The 24878-nt window shown below is 36.0% G+C and overlaps 2 long non-coding RNA genes across 2 annotated transcripts in view, besides 1 other annotated feature; one reads left to right on the top strand and one right to left on the bottom strand.

The window, feature by feature from the left end:
• LOC107986772 (uncharacterized) overlaps positions 1–24878 on the bottom strand; it is a 129008-nt gene that overhangs the window by 36464 nt on the left and 67666 nt on the right. The gene's annotated exons all lie outside the window — the stretch shown is intronic.
• Positions 1–24878, top strand: part of LOC101927609 (uncharacterized) — a 164409-nt gene that overhangs the window by 106973 nt on the left and 32558 nt on the right. The window contains exon 7 of the long non-coding RNA XR_007060234.1: positions 23757–24009. This is a non-coding gene — a long non-coding RNA (uncharacterized LOC101927609). The remainder of the gene's footprint in view (positions 1–23756; positions 24010–24878) is intronic.
• Positions 6357–6426: an enhancer, noted in NCBI's record as "active region_25672". NCBI's record gives its function as "activates an Ori minimal core promoter by ATAC-STARR-seq in GM12878 lymphoblastoid cells {active_cell/tissue: GM12878}" and the evidence as "EXISTENCE:reporter gene assay evidence [ECO:0000049][PMID:35858748]".

Here is a 24878-nt window from a genome sequence, read left to right as displayed (position 1 = left end):
TTAACAAGTACTCAATGAAGGACCATTTCTTCAACTTTTCCATTTGTCAGACTCTAAACTCCATTATTTAAAAAAGTATGCAAAGAGTACAGGATTAGGAGTCTAACATACCTGGGTTTAAAACCTGTATCTGCACTGACTAGTTCCATGATCTTGAGCAAATTGTGTAACATCTCTGAGTGTTAATCTCCTCTTTTATAAAATAGGGTTAATAATACTCATAACATAATGTGAAGGTAAGCAAAATTATTTACCTAGAGCACCTTGCTCAGCACCTGGCATGGAGTAGGAAATAAATACAATAGGTTTTATTAACAATCTTAACAAATGGCTCTCTGTTCTAATTTGGTTATATTGTCATTAATGTTCCTTTGTGTAGAATAATAACAGCAAATGTTTATTGAGTCTTTAAAATGTGTTAGACATTATTCAAAACGTTATCTTATTTCAACTTCACAATTACTCACCGAGCTTGGTGTTATTGAGATCTCAAGGTCTATAGATGATAAAACTGAAATTAAGTAATTTTGCTCATCTTATAGGATTAAGGGGTGGAATGAGCTTTGAACTAAGAGTTTGACTGCAGAACTCATGATCTTAACCATGTCTCTACACACTATGTTGCTCTTCCACTAGTTCTGCTTACAGAATCAACTTTAGAACTTGTCCAATACATCTGTAACTGTTTTTTAATAAATCATATACATATGGTTTTGCAGCATGCTTGGTTTCAAGGTTTTGAGCCTGGACATACTTGCCAAACATGTGTAAATTGGTTGTGTGAAAAAGGGTACTTGAGGTTAAACAGTTCACATTTAATTTCATTTGTATTTTCCTAAAGCTTCGTGCTTAATCTTTTGAATTACAAATACCTGACACTTCAAACTGCTTGCCTAATGCCAATCTTTCATGTGATAAGCATAGTCTTTCATCAAGGTCTGTGGTGAAGACTGCCTTCCATAAAAGCCACACTATAGGATCAAATTTACAATATTTGATAAAAAAAATTAAATATCATAGTGATCAATTGAGGGCCAATTAAAATCGTGGTTCACAATTGTTGCATATCAAATTTTAAAACAATGCTAAAGGGAGTTTTCATATATATGGATGGGAACCTGGAAGGAGGGAAAATGCCCTCCACATATATTTCATATTAGATATTCAATATTAGACGTATTATCAATAAAGCAATTCTTATTATAGGCATATCTTATATGCTTAACAAAAATGACTATATCATCCTCTTGCTTATCATATAGTCTCTTGTCTCTAAATCCCCTTGTGTCTAAGGCTAGCATTATTATTTTTTCTATTAATACTACTCTCCAAATTAATTATCGTATCTCTGAATCATTTCCTACATATGGTACCAACTAGTAGCCCCTCCTTCTTAATCCTCACCTCTATTAGCTTCTATAATATTCAACTTTTTCTTCTTGAAATACTGATGAATACCAGCGACAGTGTAAGTTATGTAAAACAAAGAATAGAGGGCCTTTGATCCTTCCCTAAAGATTTGTACAATATAATCAAGATATATGCAAAAAAGTGTGTGGTACAGTGAATCTCAGAAGCATACGCAAGGTCAAAAGCATGCATATAGCTCAGAGTCGGGGATGTTTTCCTCTCTGAAGAGGAGTTGCAGTGAGGGCTTTACAGGAAAGTTGGCCTTCCAGCTGTGTACTAATGGATACATAGAACCTTGCCATTTGTACCAAGTGGAGAAGAACCATCCTAAGCAGAAGGAGCAGCAGGAGCACACTCATACAGGCATGAAACAATATACCATGTTTAGGGACATAAAAGTAGTTTCCTATTTCTAGGTGATAAAGCAAAATGGAGAGAGCTCCAGAATCTCAAGCTAAAGAGGTGCTTAAAACTTATATTAAGAGTAAATTTTTATGCTTATAAACATCATCAGATTATTCACTCATTTGTTCATGCATGCAAGCATGCATTCAAAAATTTTGTGACTATTTACTACATATCTGTCTCTTTGACAGGTCCTTTGGCTTCCCTGGGAAACACTGGAATAATTATCTCGAGCCACAAATAAAATACACTAACAATAGTTGATGAGCTAAAAAAAAAAAAAAATTACAAAAAAATCTCTTGTATGTAGAAAACCCTAAAGACTCCACAAAAAACTGCTAGAACTAATAAACGATTTAGCAAAGTTACAGTATATAAAATTAGCACACAAAAAATCAGTTGTGTTTCTATATACTAACAATGAACAATCTGAAAAGTAGATTATGAAAAGTGAAAGAAAACAATTCCACTTACAATAGTATCAATAGCATCAAAAAAAAAAAAAAGGAACTTCGCCAAGGAGGTGAAAGACTTGTATACAGAAAACTACAAAACATTGCTGACAGAAATTAAAGAAGACATACAAAAACGCAAAGAAACCCTGCGTTTATGGATTCAAAGTCTTAATCTTATTAAAACATCCACACTACCCAGTGATCTACAGATTCAATGAATTCCCTATCAAAATTCCAATGGCATTAATTTTTTTTTAATTCTAAAATTTGTATGGAATCTCATGGGACTCTGAACAGCCAAAACCATCTTGAAAGAGAAAAGCAGAGCTGGAGACTTCACACATCTTGATTTCAAAACATATTACTCAGCTACGGTAATCCAAACAGTGTTATTGGCATAAAAACAGACATATAGAGCAATAGAGCAAAATAGAGAACCCAGAGATAACCCTCACATATATGGTCACAAAGGTGTGAAGGTTACACAATAGGGAAAAGGTAGTTTCTTCAACAAATAATGTTGGGAAAACTGAACATCCACCAGCGAAATAATAAAGTTAGCACCTTACCTTAGACAATACACAAAAATTAACTCAAAATGGATTAGACTTGAAACCATAAACTCCTAAAGGAAAACATAGGGGGAAAGCTTCATAATACTGGTGTTGGCAATGATTTCTTCAATATGACACCAAAAGCACAGACAAAAAAAAAAAAAAGCAAAATAGACTACATTAAACTTTCAAAATTGTACACAGCAAAGGAAACAATCAACAGTAAAAAGACAGCATATGTAATGAGAAAATATTTGTGAGCCATGTGTCTGATATGGGGTTAATACCCAAAATATATCAAGAGCTCCTACCACTCAATAACAACAAAAACAAACAATCTAATTTTAAAATGGACACAGGACTAGATATTTCTACAAAGATATACAAATGGCCAGGAAACATATGAGAAATATTCTGCATCCTTATGATCATTAGAGAAATGAGAATTGAAACCATAATGAGATATTACCTTACATTGTTTTTTATTTTTATTTTTAAGTCAAAAGAGGAAATAAGTGTTGGTGAGGATATGGAGAACCTAAGACTCCATACTGTTGGTGGGAATACAAAATAGCATAGCCTCTATAAAAAGCAATATGGAAATTCCTTTTAAAATTAAAAATATAATTACAATATGATCCTACAAGCCCACATTTGTGTATATTTCCAAAAGACTTGAAAATAAGATCTCAAGGGAAAAATTGTATACTCATGTTTGTTGTAGCATTAGGAGGTGAGTGGGAAAATGTAAGTCAAAGGTTATAAAGTACCAGATAGGTAGGATGAACACATCTAGAGACCTAATGTAAAACATGAGGACTATACTTAAATACTGTACTGTGCTCAGGATTTTTGCTAAAAGGAAATTTTAGGTGATCATGTCACAAAAACAAAAAAGGGTAACTGCGAGATGATAGCTATGTCAATTTGCTTCACTATGGTAACCTTTTCATTATCTGCATGTATATCTAAACATCATGTATTAAACCCTAAATATATACGGTAAGTTTTTTTAAAACACTTCAGACTCGGTGACACTCACTAAGTTTGCAAGGGATTTAAAGTTAGGAGGATAGATCTAATTTCAAATTCTACATGGACTCATTGTAGGACAAAAGTATATCCTGCTTGTCCTATATTTGCCTTTTTTTCTCTCCTGGTGAAGATAAGGAGTACCAATCACCAAATTATTTTATCCAGTAGTCCTTCGTAAGTATTGGTTACCTTCACAGTGAGGGTTTCCTGGTACCAATTTCAGATTCACCAGTTTGTTAAAAGCCAACTCTTCAATAAAATAGATTTTATTTTCCCATTAAGAAATCTCCCCTCCAAAGAAAAAAGTTTAAGATATTTCTGATGGAAAAGATTGGTGAAACTTATTTATTGTAGAAAGAAATAAGAAATTTGGATATAAAAATTCTTAGTATTCAATTCTATTATTTCCTATATTCTCTTGTATCCTAAATATGAAGGAGTAGTACTAAAGAGAACTGCTTTTTAAATGACCAAACTTTGAAATGTGTTCTTCAGACACAAATCAGCTGGACTACAAATCAATGTTATTTTTGACTTAATATTTTGTATTCTAGCCTTTGTTAATAAATGTAGTTTAGAGAATTGATCAGTATTAACTTAGCTGAATAAAAATGAAATCACAATATAATGTAGTTTTATAACTAAAGTAATTTTACTACAACCTATTTGTTGATATTCATGTTCAACAATTTTTTAAAAAGCATAGAAATATGCTATCCTGGTTTTTTAGAAAAGGTTTATTAGACATTCAGTTTCATGAGGAAATTGATAGGAAAATTTTCCAAGTTTTGATTCATTGTAATTTTGACTAATTGCTCTCTTGCTGTGAAGATGTGAAAATCTCCAGCTTTACTCACCTCAGCATTGGGGTGAATTAATATGCTTATATTTAGATGGTTCTACATTCTACAATCTGATTTTTTAGAGGGATATATGAGCCATTTGAGACCATAATTTTTTTCTGACAAAAAATAATTGACAAATTCCTTTAGTATCATGGATTAACTTCTAGAAATTATTAAGAACACCCCCCTCATAACCCCCCTGAAGCTCATAGAGTTTTGCTAAAGAGCAAGAAATTATTGAGACATATGCAGTGGTCAGCTCAGTTTCCTTCTCCCCCACCCACTTGATGGCAGGCAGGGTGCTCCTAATCAGACCTTACAGTATATATCTAGTAAGAGCCAATCAGATGACTTATTTGATGACTCTGTGAGCCTGTCATGTAATAAAGCTGATTCCTTTTCTCCTACCAGAAAACATGACTGAAACTGATGGCTTAGAGCTAAGTGAAAAACATATTAAACATGTATGAACCATTTGGGGCAAATTCCGTTTGATCCTGATGTATCATTATAACTTGAATTTTCTATCATCTTTGTTAAAGATTTATGATTTAATGACTTAAAGCCAATCTTAGTATGTCAATAAAATATGAAACTTTAATAATCAACAACAACAACAGTAACAAAAAACCTATTTACTTCTATTTTACTTGGATAAAACAAGGTGTAAAGGTCCCAGGTGATGGCAGTGTGGTCCCACATGTCCTGGCCAGGAGATATCAGGATGGGGATAGAGGTCGGGAATCTGGGCAGACCCCTGAAGCTGGTGGAAGTTGAAAAATGGATGGACAAAGGAGAAGCCAAGTAGAGGGAACCATGGAGCCAAGTGTCCAGAAAGCAGAGCCAGGATAAGGAGATGATCTGAGGATCTGTAAGTTTCATATTATCAAGCCAGTCATGATTGGAACATGAGATAAAAGCAAGTCTAAATGAGAAGGCACTAGTGTCAGAGAGAAAAGCCAGCAGTTTTCAGGGTACTGCTGCAGAGCCGTGTAAGTGGTGGGGCCAGGACAGTGCTAAGAATCTGTGACAGAGCTGGGACTCAAAACCAGGATCCAGGGCTGGACACTTGAGGGTCAACAGGGCCAGGGCTGAACCCACAAAAAGAATGCTTGTAAGGCTGTGTGTCTGAACTACTGGATATACTCCCAATATTTTCTCTAGCCCTTAGTAACCTGTCACCCTGAGACAGGACATGCAGGCCAGGGCTGAGCAGACATGTGAGGGCTTAATAGGGATGACTTCTGCGTTTAGAAAATTAGGAGACAAAGATAGAGACAGGCCAAGTGTAGAGGGATAATCTCAAAGACCACATCTGAGAAATGAGGCCCCTTTTTATAGATTTTGCTTTTCTTTAAAAGTATAAATCCTTTTCTTAAAAAGTGTAAATCTTGTCAGCTTCAAGGAAGAAACCTACTACCATTAACCTTTTCAGTTTTCCTCCCAGTTACAATCCAAGCAAAGCCAATTCACAGCGAAGCTGAGAAGTTTAGAAAGTTTGCCTTCTGTCTTATTCTCTCATTTTTGCAGCATTTTCTTCTCTCTGGTATAGTTATTTAATATATCCTGGTTGCTTCACCTCCCCGCCTCAAAACAGAGTAGGAGTTAAAAGCCATACTGTATGCTTTTGATTGAATAAGTGGCTATAATCTACTGCAGTGTAGTCTTAATGTGTTACCTCAAACGTAAGTTTTATTTTCAACAGGGTAGGCTTTTTTTTTCTAATTGCTTAAAGATATGAACCTTACCCTTAAGAAGGGGAAGTGGAATGAACCATATGAGTCAGTCAAAGATAGTCCACAGGAGGCCAGTCCGACCAAATCACATGTTAGACATACACTCTTGGAAACTGAAGAAAGCACGGAGAAAGCCATGACCTATTTTTTATTTTGTTGGAACTTGAAAGTTTTTTTTTAAATGAAAGTACTAAAGAACTCCAAAAATACATAGTAATGATAAAACAATCATATATCTATTATCAGGAAGCATAAAAATCATACAATAATCTAGTCCAGAGAGCATCATTACTTTGTCATCATTACTAAGTATTCCTTTTATAAGTAAATGTCAGTTCCTGCAACATTAGATAATTGTAGTTTAGAAATGAGTAATCTAATTTATTGGCCATGGCAGAGATTCAGCTCTTTGAAAAAGCATAGTCATTTTTAACCTTCTCATTGTTTATTGTTATGCATCTGACAATGGGATTTAATTTTTAGATATTTAAGCCTTTTCCTTATGCAACAATACCCCAAAGGCAGTCATTTCTGATGGTATTTGGAATCCCAAATCTTAATTCTTTTCCAGGAACAATGGAAATAAACAACCGATTTTAGGTGTTTCCCTATTTCCTTATTAAATAAAACCTTTTCACTTTGGCAGGCCTGCACTCTCTCTGTGAATGCTGGTTTATTTCCCCATTAATTGTCTTTCTAATTTTAATTAAACAGCCTTAAAGTGGCAGCAAAAGACACCTTTAATGTTTGTTAGTTCTGTTACTCTAGAAAGAAAAGAAGGTTTAATGTATTGCTTTAAATTCAACACACACACATACTTCTGATTGGGTAACACTAGGCTTTAAAGTACTTAAACCGAAAAGTAATTTCAAAATAAACATTCCTTTACTCTTTGGACTATTTGAAAATAAGCTGCCAGCATGACTGCCAAATGTCCCCTCTGAGTCTACATGTACATAAAAATATTTACCAAACCGTTGAGTCCACATCTCTATGAGGACAACATGCCATTTCTGATATGAGCTCTGGGGACTTAATGGCAGATATTTAGTTCTCAGCTGTCTTTAGCACATCCAATCCAATATAGTTGCGTATTACTTCTGTCTTTGGAGACAACCTAAATGATCTTACATTGTTAGAAATCTGTATCATTTAGATAAATAAATTTCAGATGTCACCTTTTTTCTTGGTGCCATTATGGTTATTTATAGTCCCAAATGAATTGTTGCAAATATACATTATAACTTTTATAATACATAAATTACAGTACATACATCTCTAAACTGGCTTGAGGTTAATTTTTAAATTGAATCTAGCAATGTGTGAATTTTCAAAATAGATTTAATGTTTTACATGAAAATTTGTTTAACTGCTAAGTTCATTTTTAATTCATTAGTGTGCTTGATATACTATCTTTAGAGGCAATTATTTTAACGACAAATTACATTAAATCAACAAATAATTTTTTTAAGCATCAGGGATTTCCTCTTTAACACTTTTATTGATTTATAATTAAGCCTATCAAAAAGACATTTGTTAAATGAGACTACAAGAACTCACAGATCCCATTTCTGAGTATAACATATTCATTTCATATTGACCTGCTTTCTTGTTCTCAAAAATTGTTTTTGCCCAACTTTGCTTAGAGGATTGCTTTTTATCACAAGCTATACTTAGGCTGTCATATTGAAAGAATATTTTAAATGCCACATTTAAAGTGACAAAGTTGGCAAGCCCAGAAAGAAACAATAGTGCTAAGAGCAAACAGATGTCTGTATCTGGGTGAGAGCTTTTCTCTCTAGAGGCAAATAAAATAGATAATAACCCTAAGTTGCCAGAATTTGACATGGTGAGCCAAAACCTATCAGGAGACAGTGAAATTAATTTATACAAGTCAGAAAGTAGTTTTTGAATGTATGGCAAACGCTTTGGTTTTGACTTTAAATGCCTATTCTGATCACTTTCAGATTGTTTCTGGCACACTCTAGATAGAAATTGTTCCAGCTAATCAGACCATTAGCAACTGGGTCAACCTTCTGAATCATACATCTTTGGAACTGCTTGTATTCATTTAGTTTGTCACATGCATTCTGTTTGTGATTTATTGAGCATTTTTTTGGTAAGAGCTCGATAGTTTTTAAGAGGCACTGTGTCATTTCTCAAAAGAATTATACTTCATGAGCACTAGCACAAGCTTCCCCAATTATGTGCTTTTAGCATATCCCCAAATTGGACTCTGACTGCATTTTTTTTTTCAGCAAAAGTACATACTTCATTTTTTTTTTTTTTTTTTTTTTTTTAGACGGAGTATCCCTCTATTGCCCAGGCTGGAGTGTAGTGGCTCAATCTTGGCTCACTGCAACCTCTACCTCCTGGGTTCAAGCGCTTCTCCTGCCTCAGCCTTCCTAGTAGCTGGGACTACAGGCACATGTCACCATGTCCAACTAGTTGTTTTTTGTTTTTTTGTACATTTTTTGTAGAGACGGGGTTTCACCATATTGGCCGGGCTAGTCTTGAACTCCTGACCTTGTGATCCACCTGCCTTGGCCTCCCAAAGTGTTGGGATTACAGGCATAAGCCACCGCACCCAGCCACATACCTCATTTCTCCAAGAACCCTCCTTTTCTGAGCTTCTTAACATCCACAGTCATTCCCTTCTATAGAATATACAGAAATGAGGTTAGCATTGCTTCAGGCAACCAGTCATTGCAAATAGCGTTCCTACCCCTTAGTATTATGTATACTGAAACAGAAAAGCAAGCATAAAATTTCATAAACATAAAAAGGGAACACTGCCTAAAACACACATTAATAAGTAATGTACTTAAAATATTCTGTGTGATTTTTATATTTGAGGGGTTTTTTTTTGTTTAAAATTTCTTTCTCAATGAAAACTAGTCAAATTAAAAAAGGAACGAACTAACTCAAACTTAGAAAAAAAATCTTATGAGAGTTTTCTCGTTCACATTCTGCTTTCAGAGGATGCTATAAATTTCACCTCTGCCTCTGTTCCAGAGGTATTTGGGGGATTGCAGTAAGTAGTCTATTAAGTAAGTTCTATTTAAGTTAATTAAATCTTCAGGTGGCTAACTCTGTCTACCTAATCATTAGGCATGGTTGTTTTATCTTCTTTCTCACTCCCTGTCATAAAATGTTTTTCACCATCAAATTCATTCATTCATTTACTAATTCAGGCACATCCTTCTATAAATGATACAAAGTAATATCAGAGAGATACAAATCACTAAAACATCAAGTTGGACAGAAAAGATATGAATGCACACAAAATTAAAGATAAAATAGTAAATAAGAAATGTCAAATAAACGGTGCAGACAAAAACAGCCCTGAGAAAGGAGAGAAGTAGAGATGCATTCAGTAAATAAATGAGTGACTCAGGAGCCCATAGATCCAAGTTTTGGCCATCAAATAGAAAGGAGTGAGCAGGCAGAAAAATGAAAACTCCAAGTGGGCCACCATCTGAGGTGGGTGGAGGCAAAGTTTCCATCCATGTCTAGCGTGGATACCTACCATGCTTGAGACACGAGTTTTAATAGAGTACATAATTCTATTTTGCACTGTGCTAGACATTGAGAATATAAAGCTGAAGAGATACGATCTACACCATCATGGGCTGACTGACTGTCTAGCAAAGGATATAGGTTTGCTGGCTTAGGGACAAGTCCTTAAACCAAATTTCTAACAATGTTTTGTGTGTTCCCTTCATTCATCTATTCAACGAATATTTTCTAAATGTCCACTTTGTGCCTGCTGTTGAAATAAGTAAAGGGGTGAAAAAAACAGACAATATCAGGCAATCTCCTACCCTCGAGGATATTATATTCTAATGGGGGACGTGGAAGACAGTCAACAAGTATTGAGTAAATACATAGTTCGTCATGTTAGATACATTCTATGGTGAAAAATAGAGAATGATAAAGATATTAGGACAGTTGGGAAACTGACTTACAAAGGAAGGGCACAGGATTCCTCACTGACAAGGTGCTTGAGCAAGTTCTCAAAGAAAGTGAGGGAAAAGCCAGCTGGCTCACTCAGGAATTGGGACTCAGGAAGAAGAAGAGCAATGAAGGCTGGGGTGGGAAGGGGCTTGTTTAGGAACAGCAAAGAGGGCAGCCTGGTTAGAGGAGAGTTGAGAAGGACAAAAGTGGTAAGGGTGGGTCAGAGACACAGGATAAGGAAGGAGTCAAGACGTCAAACCCCGTTAAGCAGCACAGCATGGTGGCGCTATAAAGTCTAGTGTAAAATGCTGACTCCACTGCTTACCACCTGGGTACTTTGGACAAGCTGCTTAAATTCTTTGAACCTCTCTTTTCTTCCCTGCATAAACAGGGGTAATAAGAGTTTCCTCATGGTTATTATGAGAATGAAATGAAATGATACTTTTTCTCTGAAACACCAAGGATTGTTCCCATACTAAGTACTAAATAAATAAATATTAGTAATTGTTAACGATTGCAATAACTGATTGGTCATGAGTTTCTGTCATTGTTTCTGTCACCCCTCAGGTTGCATTATATAAATAGCTTTCTCCCCAGTTCAGTTTATTTTTCACTGAGCCACCAGATTTCTTTTGCTTCAGCACTGCTATCATCATCATGTCATTTATGGCTTCTTATAATTTGGTCCACCATACAGTTCCAAAAGTATCATTCAGGACTTTGCAGGTGGGAATATCTATTCCAGCTTGGCTGGTATGTCTATTTACTTACCCTCCAATCTCTCCGTGTTGGACAAGACATCAGACCCTAGGTTTCGATCATCATGCATTTGAACTCGCCCTCTACCACAACTAATCGGATCCTACCAACATTTCTAGGTTTTGCCCTTTTCTCAAAAGAAACATTCCAACTCTACTTGACCTTTCCTCTACTTTTAAACCAGTCTCCTACTGTTGGATATTCATGGTGTTTTCATGTTGTTATTTTAATCAATGCTATTGTAAAAAATGCTAATTTAGAACATATCAAAATACTTCAGTGAAAACTTTTCAGACTGAAAAGGAGACTTCTTATGGGTGAAAATATCAGTAGTTCTGGTCAGTAAAATGTTTATACCCATCATATTAAATGGGTACCTAAAAACTTTTTATGCTGGGTGCATTTATATTACAGGCAACATGAAAGCAAATAATAAACTGTCGAATAGGAATCAATGAGTTCTCAGAGGTTGTCCCAGGATGAGGTCACAGTATAATACAAAATATATTTGCTTTGATGAAAAAGAAAAGCAAATATGTAACATAATTCCCATAGCTTTTTTGTTGTTTTTATTCTTGTTGGTATTACTCCAATGTGGTTAAAGCAATATTTTTCATCTTGGCATCTCTGGAATCTTTAATGGAAAAATTTCTTTTCAAAGAAACCCAAACAATTAAACAAAATTTCAAACAGAAATGTTAAATTTTTAATCTCACTAAATACGATTCTCAGAGTTTGGCATCTTGTGCTATTTACAGTGCAAACATACACAAAAGTATATTCCTAAATCATTTTCAAAATATTCTTATTTCTAATTTGAAAAATAATGTTCTTGATGTGTGCGTGTGCGTGTGTGTGTGTGTGTGTGTGTGTGTGTGTCAACTTAATATCAACCTAATTACAAGCTCAGTGAAGGGTGGGCTTTTCTATTGTCCTTACTGGGAATCCTGGCCAAGGAAGCCTAATCAGGTAAAAACTGCCAACTGTTGCTGGACACATGTGGTTGAGGGAGTTAAGAGGGGTTCCCAAAGAAAGACGATGATATTTCCAAAAGAAAAGAAGAATTCTAGGCAGAAAGTATATGACAACTAAATGCATTTCTGCCAAACCACATTGTTATTATTATTTGTCTAGAAGACCAGGAAGGAAAGGCACAGGTGAGACCTGAATATTCTTGTTTTTTGTTGTTATTGTTGTTGAGACGGAGTCTCGTTCTGTCGCCAGGCTGGTGTGTAGTGGCACAATCTTGGCTCACTGCAACCTCTGCCTCCCAGGTTCAAGCAATTTTCCTGCCTCAGCCTCCAGAGTAGCTGGGACTACAGGCACGTGCCACCACGCCCACCTAATTTTTGTATTTTTAGTAGAGACAGGGTTTCACCATGTTGGCCAGGATGATCTCGATCTCTTGACCTCATGATCTGCCCGCCTCAGCCTCCCAAAGTGCTGAGATTTCAGGCGTGAGCCACCGCGTCCGGCCAGGGCCTGAACATTCTTAATGCCATAACCTCTCACACAGTAAGAGGTGGCCACAACCGGAATTTTTGTCCAATTAGCCTATTGGGAGATTTTATCTTCAGTAACATGTAAGACAAAAAAAATAGGATTTTAAAATTGACTTCTGAAATATATATATTTCTAACTATAAAAAACAATTCATGGACATAGAGAAACTTTCTGACTGTATAAAATAATAAATACAATAAAAAGTGTATCACTTTCCCATTCCAGGCCTCAGTTTCCCTTCCTAGAAGCAGCAGTATAGCAGTTTCCTATGTACCCTTCCAGAAATATTTCCTGGATATAATACATAGAAAAGCTTATAAGGGACTTTACATGAATGGTGTGTGTGGGGGGTGGGGGGATGTATAAATATATATTCCTATTTTTACCCAAAAGGGAACATAGCATTTATACTGCTATATAATCTTACCGGTAGATGGTATTCCATTGTTTGGATAAATCACAGTTAATTTTGCCAGTCCCACATTGATTAAACATCTAGTTTGCCTTTTCTGCTTCAACAGTATTGCAAGGAATATCATGTCCTCATGTCCTTGCAAATATACGTGCATAATAAATTTCTAAAAGTAGAATTGCTGACTCCAATCTACTCTTCATAACTTTATTTTGACATTGACTCCCTAAAAATGTGTCACCATTTTATGTGCCTAGTAACCAGGTATCTGTATAAGAATGCTAGTTTCCACATAGACTTGTCAACACATTGTATTATCTATCAATTTTTCTTTACCTTGTCAACCAGTAAAATATATTTTATAACTGCATGGCTCTATTTATTCACCTTTATCATAACTGTAATTAATGATATCCTCTCAGGAGTGCAATGACTGACTACTTCCACAGCACAAAGTTCCTTTTACGAACTTTTTCTCCCAGCTATAAAGTGAAAAATTTGTCTCATTCACCTGAGTATAATCCTTGTTTATGAGGTGCAAAGTACATGAATGTGGCATAGCCCTTACACTGTGGTATAGATCAATTGCGTATGTTAATACACCTGACACCCCAATCAAAGTAAGAAATGCTGATTGGATGGACCCTCTGCCTTTAGGAATTGATTAGCCCTCCTAGCTGAGCTACAGAATTCAAAGTGGCAGGCCTGTACTGTGATGATGTTAAAGAACCTTCGAGTGAGCTCTGTCTCTCAGATTTGACTTGGGGAAATTTATATTTCCTGATTTCAAATGGCCAATTCTGCTATTCCATACTTTATAATTTCAAAGACTATCTGTCACCACATAAAGACAAATACACTTCTTAAAAAAAAAATCTGCTACTTTTTAAAACAAGCCTCAGCCCAGCTCTGTGCAATGAATGAAAAATGTGCTATAGATAGAGTGTCATTTCATGTTGCTTTTCATTTGATCAGCAAGTATGGAATGTTGGCACCTCAAAAAGTCAGCTCTCTACAAAGGCTTAGAGAAGCTTAGACAGTCTTTTTATATCTTTTAGTAGGTATTTCTTAATATAATAAATAATGAAATAAATTTAAGTCATGTTAGTCCTCTGAAAAATAAATTATTTGTTGGGATAACATTTGTTAGGGGTGGAGGTTTTAAAGCTTGTTGACTTTTATTTTTCCTCTGTGATGGTTTATGTTAAATGACTAAGTCTATTTCCATGAGAAAATTTCTCATCTGACAACTGTCAATATTGACACATATTAGGGCTCTAACAGTTTTTGCCATCTAACATACATTTTAAAAATTAAATAATATATGGGAACAAATCCAAAATATATGATGAATTGGAGAAATATCTATTACCACTCAAGGCACAGGTCAGGAGCTAATTTCTTTTTTCTTTCCTCTAAAGCTGTGCAAGTCCTGGATGGAAAATCTTAAAGCATTTTCCTATAGCCCTGGCTATCTGAGTCCTGATGGATGGAATGTGGCACAGGCTGGCACTGATAGTGAAATGTGTCCTCTTTCTAAAACTGAAAATTGGGACGATGGTGCCATTTTATCAGATACTTGAGTTCAGTGAATCTCAGAGAAAAGAAGCTCAAAGGAAGTCAAAAAGGCTGAAAGAGATAGTGTTTCACCTTCCAGTGCCAAATTCAAAGTACAAAGTCCAAACTGGTACGTTTAGCATCATCTGTGCAATGTTGTGAAGACATCACGAGAATATAATATGATTCTGTGCATGAGACTATTTTACATGATTGTTTATCACGTGGTATGTCTCAACAGAGAGTCATATATATTAACTCTCCACTAAATTAAGAAATCATCGAAAACAACACTAGTGAGTCTCAATGGGAGGTGGGTAATAGAGATTCTCACTTCCCAAGAAGAATTATCGCAGTTTCTTGGTGTGGAAGTGAGAGTTTAGGTGCTAATTGTTTTAAAAAAAAAAAAAAAAAAAAAAAAAAAACTCTTTGGGATCCTCTGAATGCTCCCAATCACCTAATTCCTATCCAAATTAAGATTTCATTGAGCCTCTCCTTTTCACCTTGATATTATACATTTGCTGATCAGTGGCTTATATGTTACAATGTACAAATGCTGTTTTTGCAGTAAATATAAAGCCTTTCCCATTTAGTATACAGCCCTATATTTTATTTTGTTCCTTCTACCTAGTTTTGGGAACACAGAATTTATCCATCCAAATTCCCACTTCTTACACAGGAAGACACTAGCTGTACGTGCTCCTGGGTGAGCAGAGGTACTGAGTTAGGGAGGAAGGGAGCATCCCAGTAAGACAGAAATAATACAGGGTGTTCGCAGGAGAATAAAACATTCCAGGCAGTTTCACGTGACTAAAGGCCATGGGCTGATAAGATCCTGAAAAACAGGGTGCCGACCAAGACCAGTAAGAACAACTGCACCTAATATGGCGCTGGATTTGACCTAGGTCTCACTTAGGACCTCGTCATATGCTCAACACGCTAAATCACACACCCAACAGCACCATGACAGTTCCGGGAACATCCATATTAGGTGTAAAAATGGGTGGCACCAAAGTTCCAAGAACTCTCTACCTTTTTTCAGGAATTATTCCACCCCTTGGTTGAAGAAATTCATAAAGGTAGCACCCCCAAACCCTCTCGCTCAACTCTCTCAAGTACGCCCACGCTCCCCTTTCTTGAGTGTGTACTTTCCACTTTGCAATAAATCTCCATGCTTTCACTATGTTCTGACTCATCTTTAAATTCCTTCTCACAATGGTGTCAAGAGCCTGGATACTGGCTGGGGGTGGAGTTCCCACCAACAGCATTGGGGGACCTACCCCAGCCCATTGGTATCACCAGCTCCAGAAATTCTCTGCTTGAGTCTAGTATAGAACAGATCTGAGCAGCTTCCTTTTTGAGATTGTCTTTATGGAGTAAGGTATCCATTGGAAAAAATTCTCTGTTGCTTTCTCCAGTATTAGGAGCTAGGAAGAGAACACCTTGCCTATGCCTCAGAGATCCACTGTCACTCCCCCTACCTGGCCCTGGTTTACCTCCTGATTTGGAGCTGAATTGTTCTCAGTGGCTTTCCTCGTGGGATTATACTCCCCTCAAATTTCTATGACTTAACGGAGCCTCTGTCCATGTTGCTGCATCCATCCATTCCTACAGTGGAAACACTAGTCCTGTTCCAACTGCAGACAGCAACATAAATACCTGCAGTTTTTCAAGGGGACATCAAATTTTCAACTAGGAGACGGTCTATTTTCTTTCTATAACTCTCCCAAGTATAACTGAATGTATTTTATTTTTTTCCATTCCAACATTATTTAGATGTCCTAGGGTGTACCCTAAAAGTGTTTTCACTTATTTTTTCTTATTTTATAGCACAGTGTATATTTAAAAAACCTTACATGATGTGTACTAAGACCTCATCTTTCCACTGCTTCACGCACAAGCAGTGCCTGTTTTGCAAAGTTACATTGTAGTTTAGACCTTCAGAGCATAAGCTAGAAAATAACCTTCATCTAAGAAGTAACCCAAATACCTCTGACCTCAATTATTCAAGAAAATTTACTCCCCTAAGCTGAGAGTCAGCTAATTTATTAAGGAATCATGGAGCTACTCTGTAACATACTGTGATAACAATTCAGAAGTAAATTTCAAGGTACATATGTAGCTTATGGCTCAAATTATAAGACATTAGTATTTACATACAGCCTTTTCCCACATGTAACTGTATAAAACTTAGTTCCTTTGAAGGGAGTATAAAAAAAACTTTGTTGGGCTTAAAAATGACAATATCATTTATGATATCCAGGATTGGCGCAAGATGTGAGGGAAAGCTGGCCGCTACCTCCACGCTATGAGCTGACAAGTGCTAAAACATTCACCTGACCAAAATAGCCTCACCTGGGATTTACACGCAGGGCTTGAAATACTTAGTTTTCTGTCTAAAGAATCAGCTGAAGCTCAGGCTAAGCCCCGCTATTCACTGCAATTCAGTTATATAAAACAAACACTTGTAAAGCAATTACTACTTGTCAAGGCTGTGCTAAGGGGATATAAGAAAATTACACACAATGAACAAGAAAACAGCGTAAGCCTCAGGAGCTAACAGACCAGCTGCAGAAAAACATCAGAAGGAAGGTCTCACAACGCAGATGATGCTTCCACGGACCGTGAAGGGTGAGTGGAATTTCTTCTGGGAAAGGAGGAAGAAAGAGCATTTAAGAGAAAGAGTAGCAAATGACAAAAATAGAAGAATGTGACAGATATAATATGTTCTGGGAAAAAAAATTAAAACTCCATTTCCTTGAAAACATCTGGAAAAACTGAACTTTTTGATGCATGTGAAAGTCAAGCTAAAAATGCAGCCGGAAAGGTCACCTGTGACTGGCACATGAAAGGTCTTATGCACCATGTCAAGGAGTTTGAGCTTTTTCCTATGGGTAATGGGGAATGACTGAGAGGTATAAAGCAGTAAAGTGACAGCACAAGGCCTGGATTTCAGAAAGTCACTTCACACGGAGCATGGAAAATGAAGATGCAGAAAGGCACTAGCATGTAGAGACTGGAGGACACTTAATGGCTAACTCTGCTTTAATGGAGGGGCTTGGTAAGCTTTCAGAGCATAGAGTAAAGGAACTGGAATTGAGAATATGGGACAGACACTACTGAGTTTTGAAGCGAGGGAAGGGTAGCTCTAGAGACATCACGAGCAAGGAGTAAATCCTGAGAGGTGATTTGATAAACTACAAGCACCTAATAAATCGACTAAAAGACAACTTGAGCAGGAAAAAGGGCACTGAGAAGTTACTGAAATTTAAATTTTACTACTTAGACTTCCTAAGTTTACAAAAATCAAATTTTACTATTACATTAGGACCTACTGCTAATTCTAAGTTAAGAAAAGAGAAGAGGAAACATATATTGTCAGCGAAATAGCCACTTTATATGTAATATTTTACAGACGAATCCTATGAGGATCTCCACATCTTGCTATGGTAATGGAGCTTGCATCAATTAATCTTCATGCTGAGAATAACTATGTAAACTGGATAAGCTACAAACATCAGCTCTTTGAAGTTTTTGGAGAATAATTATGACAGCCAGAACTTGAGGGGCCAAGATCAAGGAGCCAAGAAAAATCACAGAAAAGTGAGCTTGAAACCTTGTGCCACTGTTTCCCTCAAAGCATTTGTTGACTCTTAAATTGCATGGGGCAAGAAACAAACAAAAGTAGTATTATAGGCTACTAAGACAAAAATAGAGTTTGGTCCCACTAACAATTTAACTGAGATCTGTGAGGATCTATACTCCAGGAGTAAGAGCAAATCAAAATAGAGCCTTACAAAACAGAAATGCAGCCTCAAATCAATTAATCAATTTAATTCCTTACTGGATCAAATCCATTTCCTATCTACTAAAATAAGAGAATATTTGCTCTGGGGGAGATCACATCAACAACCTCTAGAGCTACACAGTCCAATACAGTAGCTACTGGTCACATGTGACTAAATTTGAATTAAAACTGGTAGAAATTGAATTAAACTAACAATTGAGTTCCTCAAATGACCACATTTCAACTGCTCATCAGTCACAAGTAGCAAGTCGCTAGCATATTGAAAAGCACAGATATAAAATTTTTCCACAATTGCAGAAAGTTCTATCAGGAACTCTGCTCTAAAGCCTGAAGAAGAAACAAGGATTCTCTCTGAGGGAAGAAGAAAACGGAAACAAAAATTATAAAGATTCTTAAAGGGGCCTTTCAGTTTTTAAATTACTGTATTTTTCTTTTCATAAATGTATTGAGATATAACTTACACATAGTAAATGGTGCTATTTTAAAATGTGGCTGTGATTTTGTTTTTATTAGGTGTAGTGAGGCCAACAGATCAGGTGAGAACTGCCATTGGAAAGATAGATAGTAACTTACATACAGTTCCCAAGGAAGGGGCATGCCATGCTGGGTCACTTGGGGAGGTACCCGGGTCAGTCTGGAGGCAGAAGGAATGAGGGAAAAGCATGGATGATGCTTTTTTTGTGTGGTTTCCCTGGGATAGGCATGGCAAGGTGAGTGAGGCTTGGCTAGTTTGAATAATTTCAGTGGGCTCTAGGGTTTAGGGCTGTCCTTAGTTACCTAGTACCTGGCCCTGGGGTGATTAGGGCAGTGGAATACTGTATTCTGGAGTTTATTGGTTTATTTGCATATGAATTTCATCATGCTAAGAATGGCATACAGTTAAAAGGTATTAATTTTTGTTTGCTTCTGAAATTTTCCATTTAATATTTTTGAACCAATGTTAACCCATAGATAACTGAAACTGCAGATAAAGGGAGACTACAGTACTTAAAAATTTGCTAAGAATGTAGATCTTATGCTAAGTGTTGTTACCACAAAGAAGGAGGTGGGGCTCAAGGAAACTTTTGAAAGTAAAAATAAAATTTAATTTTTTAATAGATATAAGACTATTTAGGCTATCTGTTTCTCCTTGAATGAGCTTTCTTGGTTGCATCTTTCAAGGTTTTTGTCTAGTTCATTTAAGTCATCTAAATTAATAACATAGTTACCAAAATAATATTTTCTCTTGCTATGTTTTTTAAATGTGTATAGAAACTCTAGTGGTGTCACTTCTCCTCCAAATAGTGGTAATTTCTGTTTTTTCCTTTTTTTTCTCATCAGTCTGACTCTATTGCTTTTATTGTCCTTCTCAAAGAACCAGCTTTTGATTTTATTAATTTTCTCCATTATATTTGTTTTGTGTTCTATGGATTTCTGCAATTATTTTTATTATTTCCTTTCTTCTGCCTACATTTGAGTTTGAGTTGCTTTTCTTCCTTCCTTAAATATGAAACTCTGACTTCAGAAGTTTCTTCTTTTTCTAATATAGGCTTTCTCTGCTACAGGTTTACTTCTACGCACTGTGTCTGCTGCATCCTTGAAATTTTACCATGTTGCTTTTTCATTTTGATTTGGTTTAAAATATTTTTCTAATTTCCCTTCTTTCTTTTCTGACCTATGGGATATTAAGAAGTATGATTTGTAGTTCCCAAATATTAGAGTGATTTTTATGGTATTGATTTCTAATTCAATTTCATTATGTTCAGTGGACATACTTGTTGATTCTTTTTAATTTATTGGCATTTTATTTTACAGCAAACAATAATATATATCTTTGTAAAATGTCCATGTGCTCTTGAAAAGAATGTGTATTCTGCTGTTGGGTGCGGTGTTCTATCAATATCAATTAGATAAAGCTGATTGATAGTGTCTTTTTATTCTATTTGTATCTATTTATTCAATACATTACTTAAAGTAGGTGTTAATTTCCAACTACAATTGTGGGTTTGCATAGTTCTTTCAATTCTGTTTTTGCTTCATCTATTTTTAAGGGCCTATCATTAAGTGCATAAATATTTAGGATTGTTAATGCCACTTGATAAATTCACCCCTTTATTATTATGAAACAACTTTCTTATCCCTGGTAACATCCTCTGCCCTGACACCTACTTTGATATTAATATAGCCAATCCAGCTTTCTGCTGACTACTTTTATGGTATTTTTTCCTATCCTTTTACTTTTAACCTATTTATGTCTTCATATGTAAGTGTATTTCATATAAGCACCATATTTTCTTGCTTGCTTTTTTATCTAAATCAGCAATATTTGCCTTTAAACTAGAATGTTTACATAATTTACATTTGATGTAATTATTGAACTGAATATAAATGTATCATCTCGCTCGTTAGTTCTTAATTTCCCCCATGTTCCTTATTCCATTCTTTTTTCTAACTCGTTGTATAAATTATTTTTTTAAGGTTCCATTTTATCTCCTTTGTAAGAATTTTAGCTAAAGTTATTTGTTTTGTTCTATTTTGTTATTAATGTTGCTTTAAGGCTCATAGTATACTTGTTTAACTTACCACAATCTACATTTGAGTAATATTATACCACTTAATGTACAGATACAAACCTTAAAACAGTATACTTCCCCCTCACTAGATTTTGTTCTATTGTTGTCATATATTTGATTTCTACATATATTACAAACCCCTGAATATGTTGTTATATTTTTACTTGAGATACTTGATTTACTTTTAAAGAGATAAAATATAAGTTAAAATTAATTTATATTTATATGCATATATTTTATTTCTAGTCAGCCCTCTGTATTTGCAGATTCTGTGTCTATAGATTTAACTAACTGTAGTCCAAACATACTTTTTAAAAATTTCAGAAAATGTTAACACTGTTGCTGACCTGTACTATGTAGTTAGGCCTACAATGGCTGTATCTATACTGAGCACTTACAGACTTTTTTGTCATTATTCCCTAAAAAATAGAGTATAACAACTATTTACACAGCATTTCTATTACATTAGGTATTATAAGTAATCTAGAGATAATTTAAAGTATACAGAAAATTTTCGTAGGTTATATGCAAATAGTATGCCATTTTATACAAGGGACTTGAGCATCTGTGGACTTTGGTATCCAACAGGGATCCTAGAACCAGTCCCTCATGAATACTGAAAGATGACTATATTCTTCATTCCTCTTTCTAGGTACAGATCTCATTTGTTATCACTCTGCTTCTGTCTGAAGGATTTTTTTTTACTATTTCTTTTAGTGCAGGTCCACTGCTATTGAATTGTTTCAGGTTTTCTTTGTTGCAGAAAGTTTATATGTTGACCCGATTTGTTCTTTAAGTACTTAAAGATACTGCTTACTTGTCTTCTTGCTTGCATTGTTTCAGATGAGAAATGGGTTGTCATCCTTGTCTTTGTTCCTCCATTTGTAACATATCTTTTTTCCTTTGACTGCTTTTAATGTGCTCAATTCATTACTTGTTTTAAACAATTTGTTTATTATATGTCCTGATGTAGTTTTCCTGGTCTTGTTTCTTGTTCTTTGAGTTCATTTCACTTCTTGCATCTGTAGGTTTATAATTTTTATGAATTTTGGAAATTTTTAAGTCATTTCCTTAAATATTTTTATGTCCTTTTCACTTCTATAGTTTATAGACTCAAATTATACATGTATTGAGTAACTTGAAGTTGTTCCAAAGCTTATTGATGCGCCTTTTTGTCAGTCATTTCTCTTCTGCATTCTGTCATTTTGGATATTTTAATTGTGTAGGGGAAGCAGATTTTCCTTGACCTTCTTAGAGTCCCTGACCAGCTTTAACAATAAAACCGATAAAGACATATTAATAAGACAAAAGCATACAAATTTAATAAATTTTATGTGACATGAGAGCCTTCAGTAATGAAGACCCAAAGAAACAGGGAAACGTATTTTTATGCTAAGTTTGATGAAGAAATGGATAGCCATTGAGAAGCAGAATTAGACAAAGAGGGTATGATCTAATGATGATGAACTGGGGGAAATTTAGCGAGGCTTATTTGTTTTGATTATTCTCTATGTCCCTATGTCTTCAAAGAGAAGGGCCTTCCTTGCCTTTGGGTACAGGGAGGGTACCTCTCATATGAGGGTCTTATAATATCCTCCAAGGAAAGGTGAGAATATTATTTCTAAGTTTTATGACCTGCATTGGGACAGAAGGTCAGAGGATTCTTTCTAGCCTTTATTACGTGCTTCAGGGGAGAAAGGTAGGAGAAGGTCAGAGAGAACTTCCTGCTTCTGAGGTTTTCTCAGCCTCCTTCAGCTTACAATACTCCATATGCCAAGGTGTCATATTTTGGGGTAGTGTGTTTTGAACCCCATCATTTGCTATGCCTTCAAGTTTACTAATCTTTCTACAGTACCTAGTCTTCTGTTAATCCCTTCCAGTAAACTTTTCATCCCAGACTTTGCAGATTTTATCTCCAGAAGCTGATTTTAGGTTTTTTGATATATTACACATCCCTTAACATGCTAAATTTTTCTCCATCTTATTGAACATACAAAACATAGTTTAGATAGATAGATAGATATAGATGTAGATATAGATTTTTTTTTTTTTTTTTTTGAGACGGAGTCTCGCTCTGTCACCCAGGCTGGAGTCCAGTGGCGCGATCTCAGCTCACTGCAAGCTCCGCCTCCCGGGTTCACGCCATTCTCCTGCCTCAGCCTCCCGAGTAGCTGGGACTACAGGCGCCCGCCACCACGCCCGGCTAATTTTTTGTATTTTTAGTAGAGACGGGGTTTCACTGTGTTAGCCAGGATGGTCTCGATCTGCCCGCCTCGGCCTCCCAAAGTGCTGGGATTACAGGCGTGAGCCACCGCGCCCGGCTTAGTTATATATTTTTAAAGTCCTTGTCTGCGCTTTCATCTGCATCACTTTCCAGTTTGTTTTGATTGATTTTTCTGTTCATACGAGTTGCATTTTCCTCCTTCATTGCATGCCTGACAATTTTTAAATTGTGAATATTACCTTGTTGAAGGCTAGATATTTTTGTAATCCTATTAATATCCTTGAACTTTACTCTAAGAAGCAGTTAAGTTACATGGGAAGAGTTTGGTCTTTTGGAGTCTTGCTTTTAAATTTGTTACACATAATTGGAGGAGCCTTTATTCTAGAGCTAATTTTACTCACTATTGATGCAATACTCCACCCAAATCCTCGAATTATGAGTTATTTTCCATTCTGGCTGATGGGAACAAACATTATTGCTGATTCTGTTCATGTTTTGAGGATTGCTTTCTCTAATCCTTTCATGTGGTTTTCTTTTTACTCAGACTCAGAGTTTCTTCTCAAATGTACACTGATAAATACTCAACTGAAGATTCAACTGAAATCCTCTATGGGTCTCCAGACTCCCCCATTCTGGAACTCTTCCCTGCAAATTCCAGCTGCCTAAACTCCCTTCCATCTCTCAGTTTCTCTATAACTGAGGAACACCGTCAGGCTCCAGCTGGATTTTCCTTCCTTGTGCACTGATCTGGAAAGTCTTTCACATCAGTAAGTGAGGGAAATCATAGAGTTCTCCTGGTGAGTTCCCAGCTCTCAAAATTACTGTGTTCTGTCATAGACAATGTTTGAAAATAAGTGTTTCTTATATTTTGTCCAATTTTTATTTGCTTCCGGCAGGTGGTTATATTCAGTCCCAGGTACTTCATCTAGGCTGAAAATAGAAGTTGCCTTTACAAGTTTTAGTGCACAGTAAAATTATCAGATGTATCACCCCAAGCCCTAGCAGGAGGCAGAAACAGAGTAACCATAAAGATATAACGAGAACTCTAACAGGTATTCTGGGGAAGTAGAATACTCAAGGAAGGACAAACTTTGGAGGGAAATCAGACTTTATTGAAGATTGGTTGTAGCCCAGTAGATGCTGGAGAAATTATCTGGGTATTCCAGGCCAGAGATAACCCATAGGAGCCAAACAAAAAAGGAAAGAACTTCTGTTCATTCAGGCAAGCTGATGGTTGTAGGCAGGTGTAAAGATATAGGGGGATTGTAGACATGAGGTCTGTGGCTCATTGTGATGGTTAACACTGAGTGTCAACTTGACTGGATTGAAGAATGCAAAGTATTGATCCTGGGTGTGTCTGTAAAGGTGTTGCCAAAGGAGATTAACATTTGAGTCAGTGGGCTGGGCAAGGCAGGCCCACCCTTAATCTGGGTGGGTACCATCTAATCAGCTGCCAGCAAATATAAAGCAGGCAGAAAAATGTGAAAAGGCTAGACTGACCTAACCTCTCTGCCTACATGTTTCTCCCATGCTAGATGCTTTCTGCCCTCAAACATCAGACTCCAAGTCTGATACATATATATATATATATATATATCTCCTATTAGCTCTGACCCTCTAGAGAACCCTGACTAATAAACTCATGGTATCTGCAATAAGAGGATCA

Source organism: Homo sapiens, chromosome 7 (assembly GCF_000001405.40).
Source record: "Homo sapiens chromosome 7, GRCh38.p14 Primary Assembly".
Lineage (NCBI taxonomy): Eukaryota > Metazoa > Chordata > Mammalia > Primates > Hominidae > Homo > Homo sapiens.
Note: the sequence above shows the minus strand (reverse complement) of the source record. Positions and strands in the feature narration are given on the sequence as shown.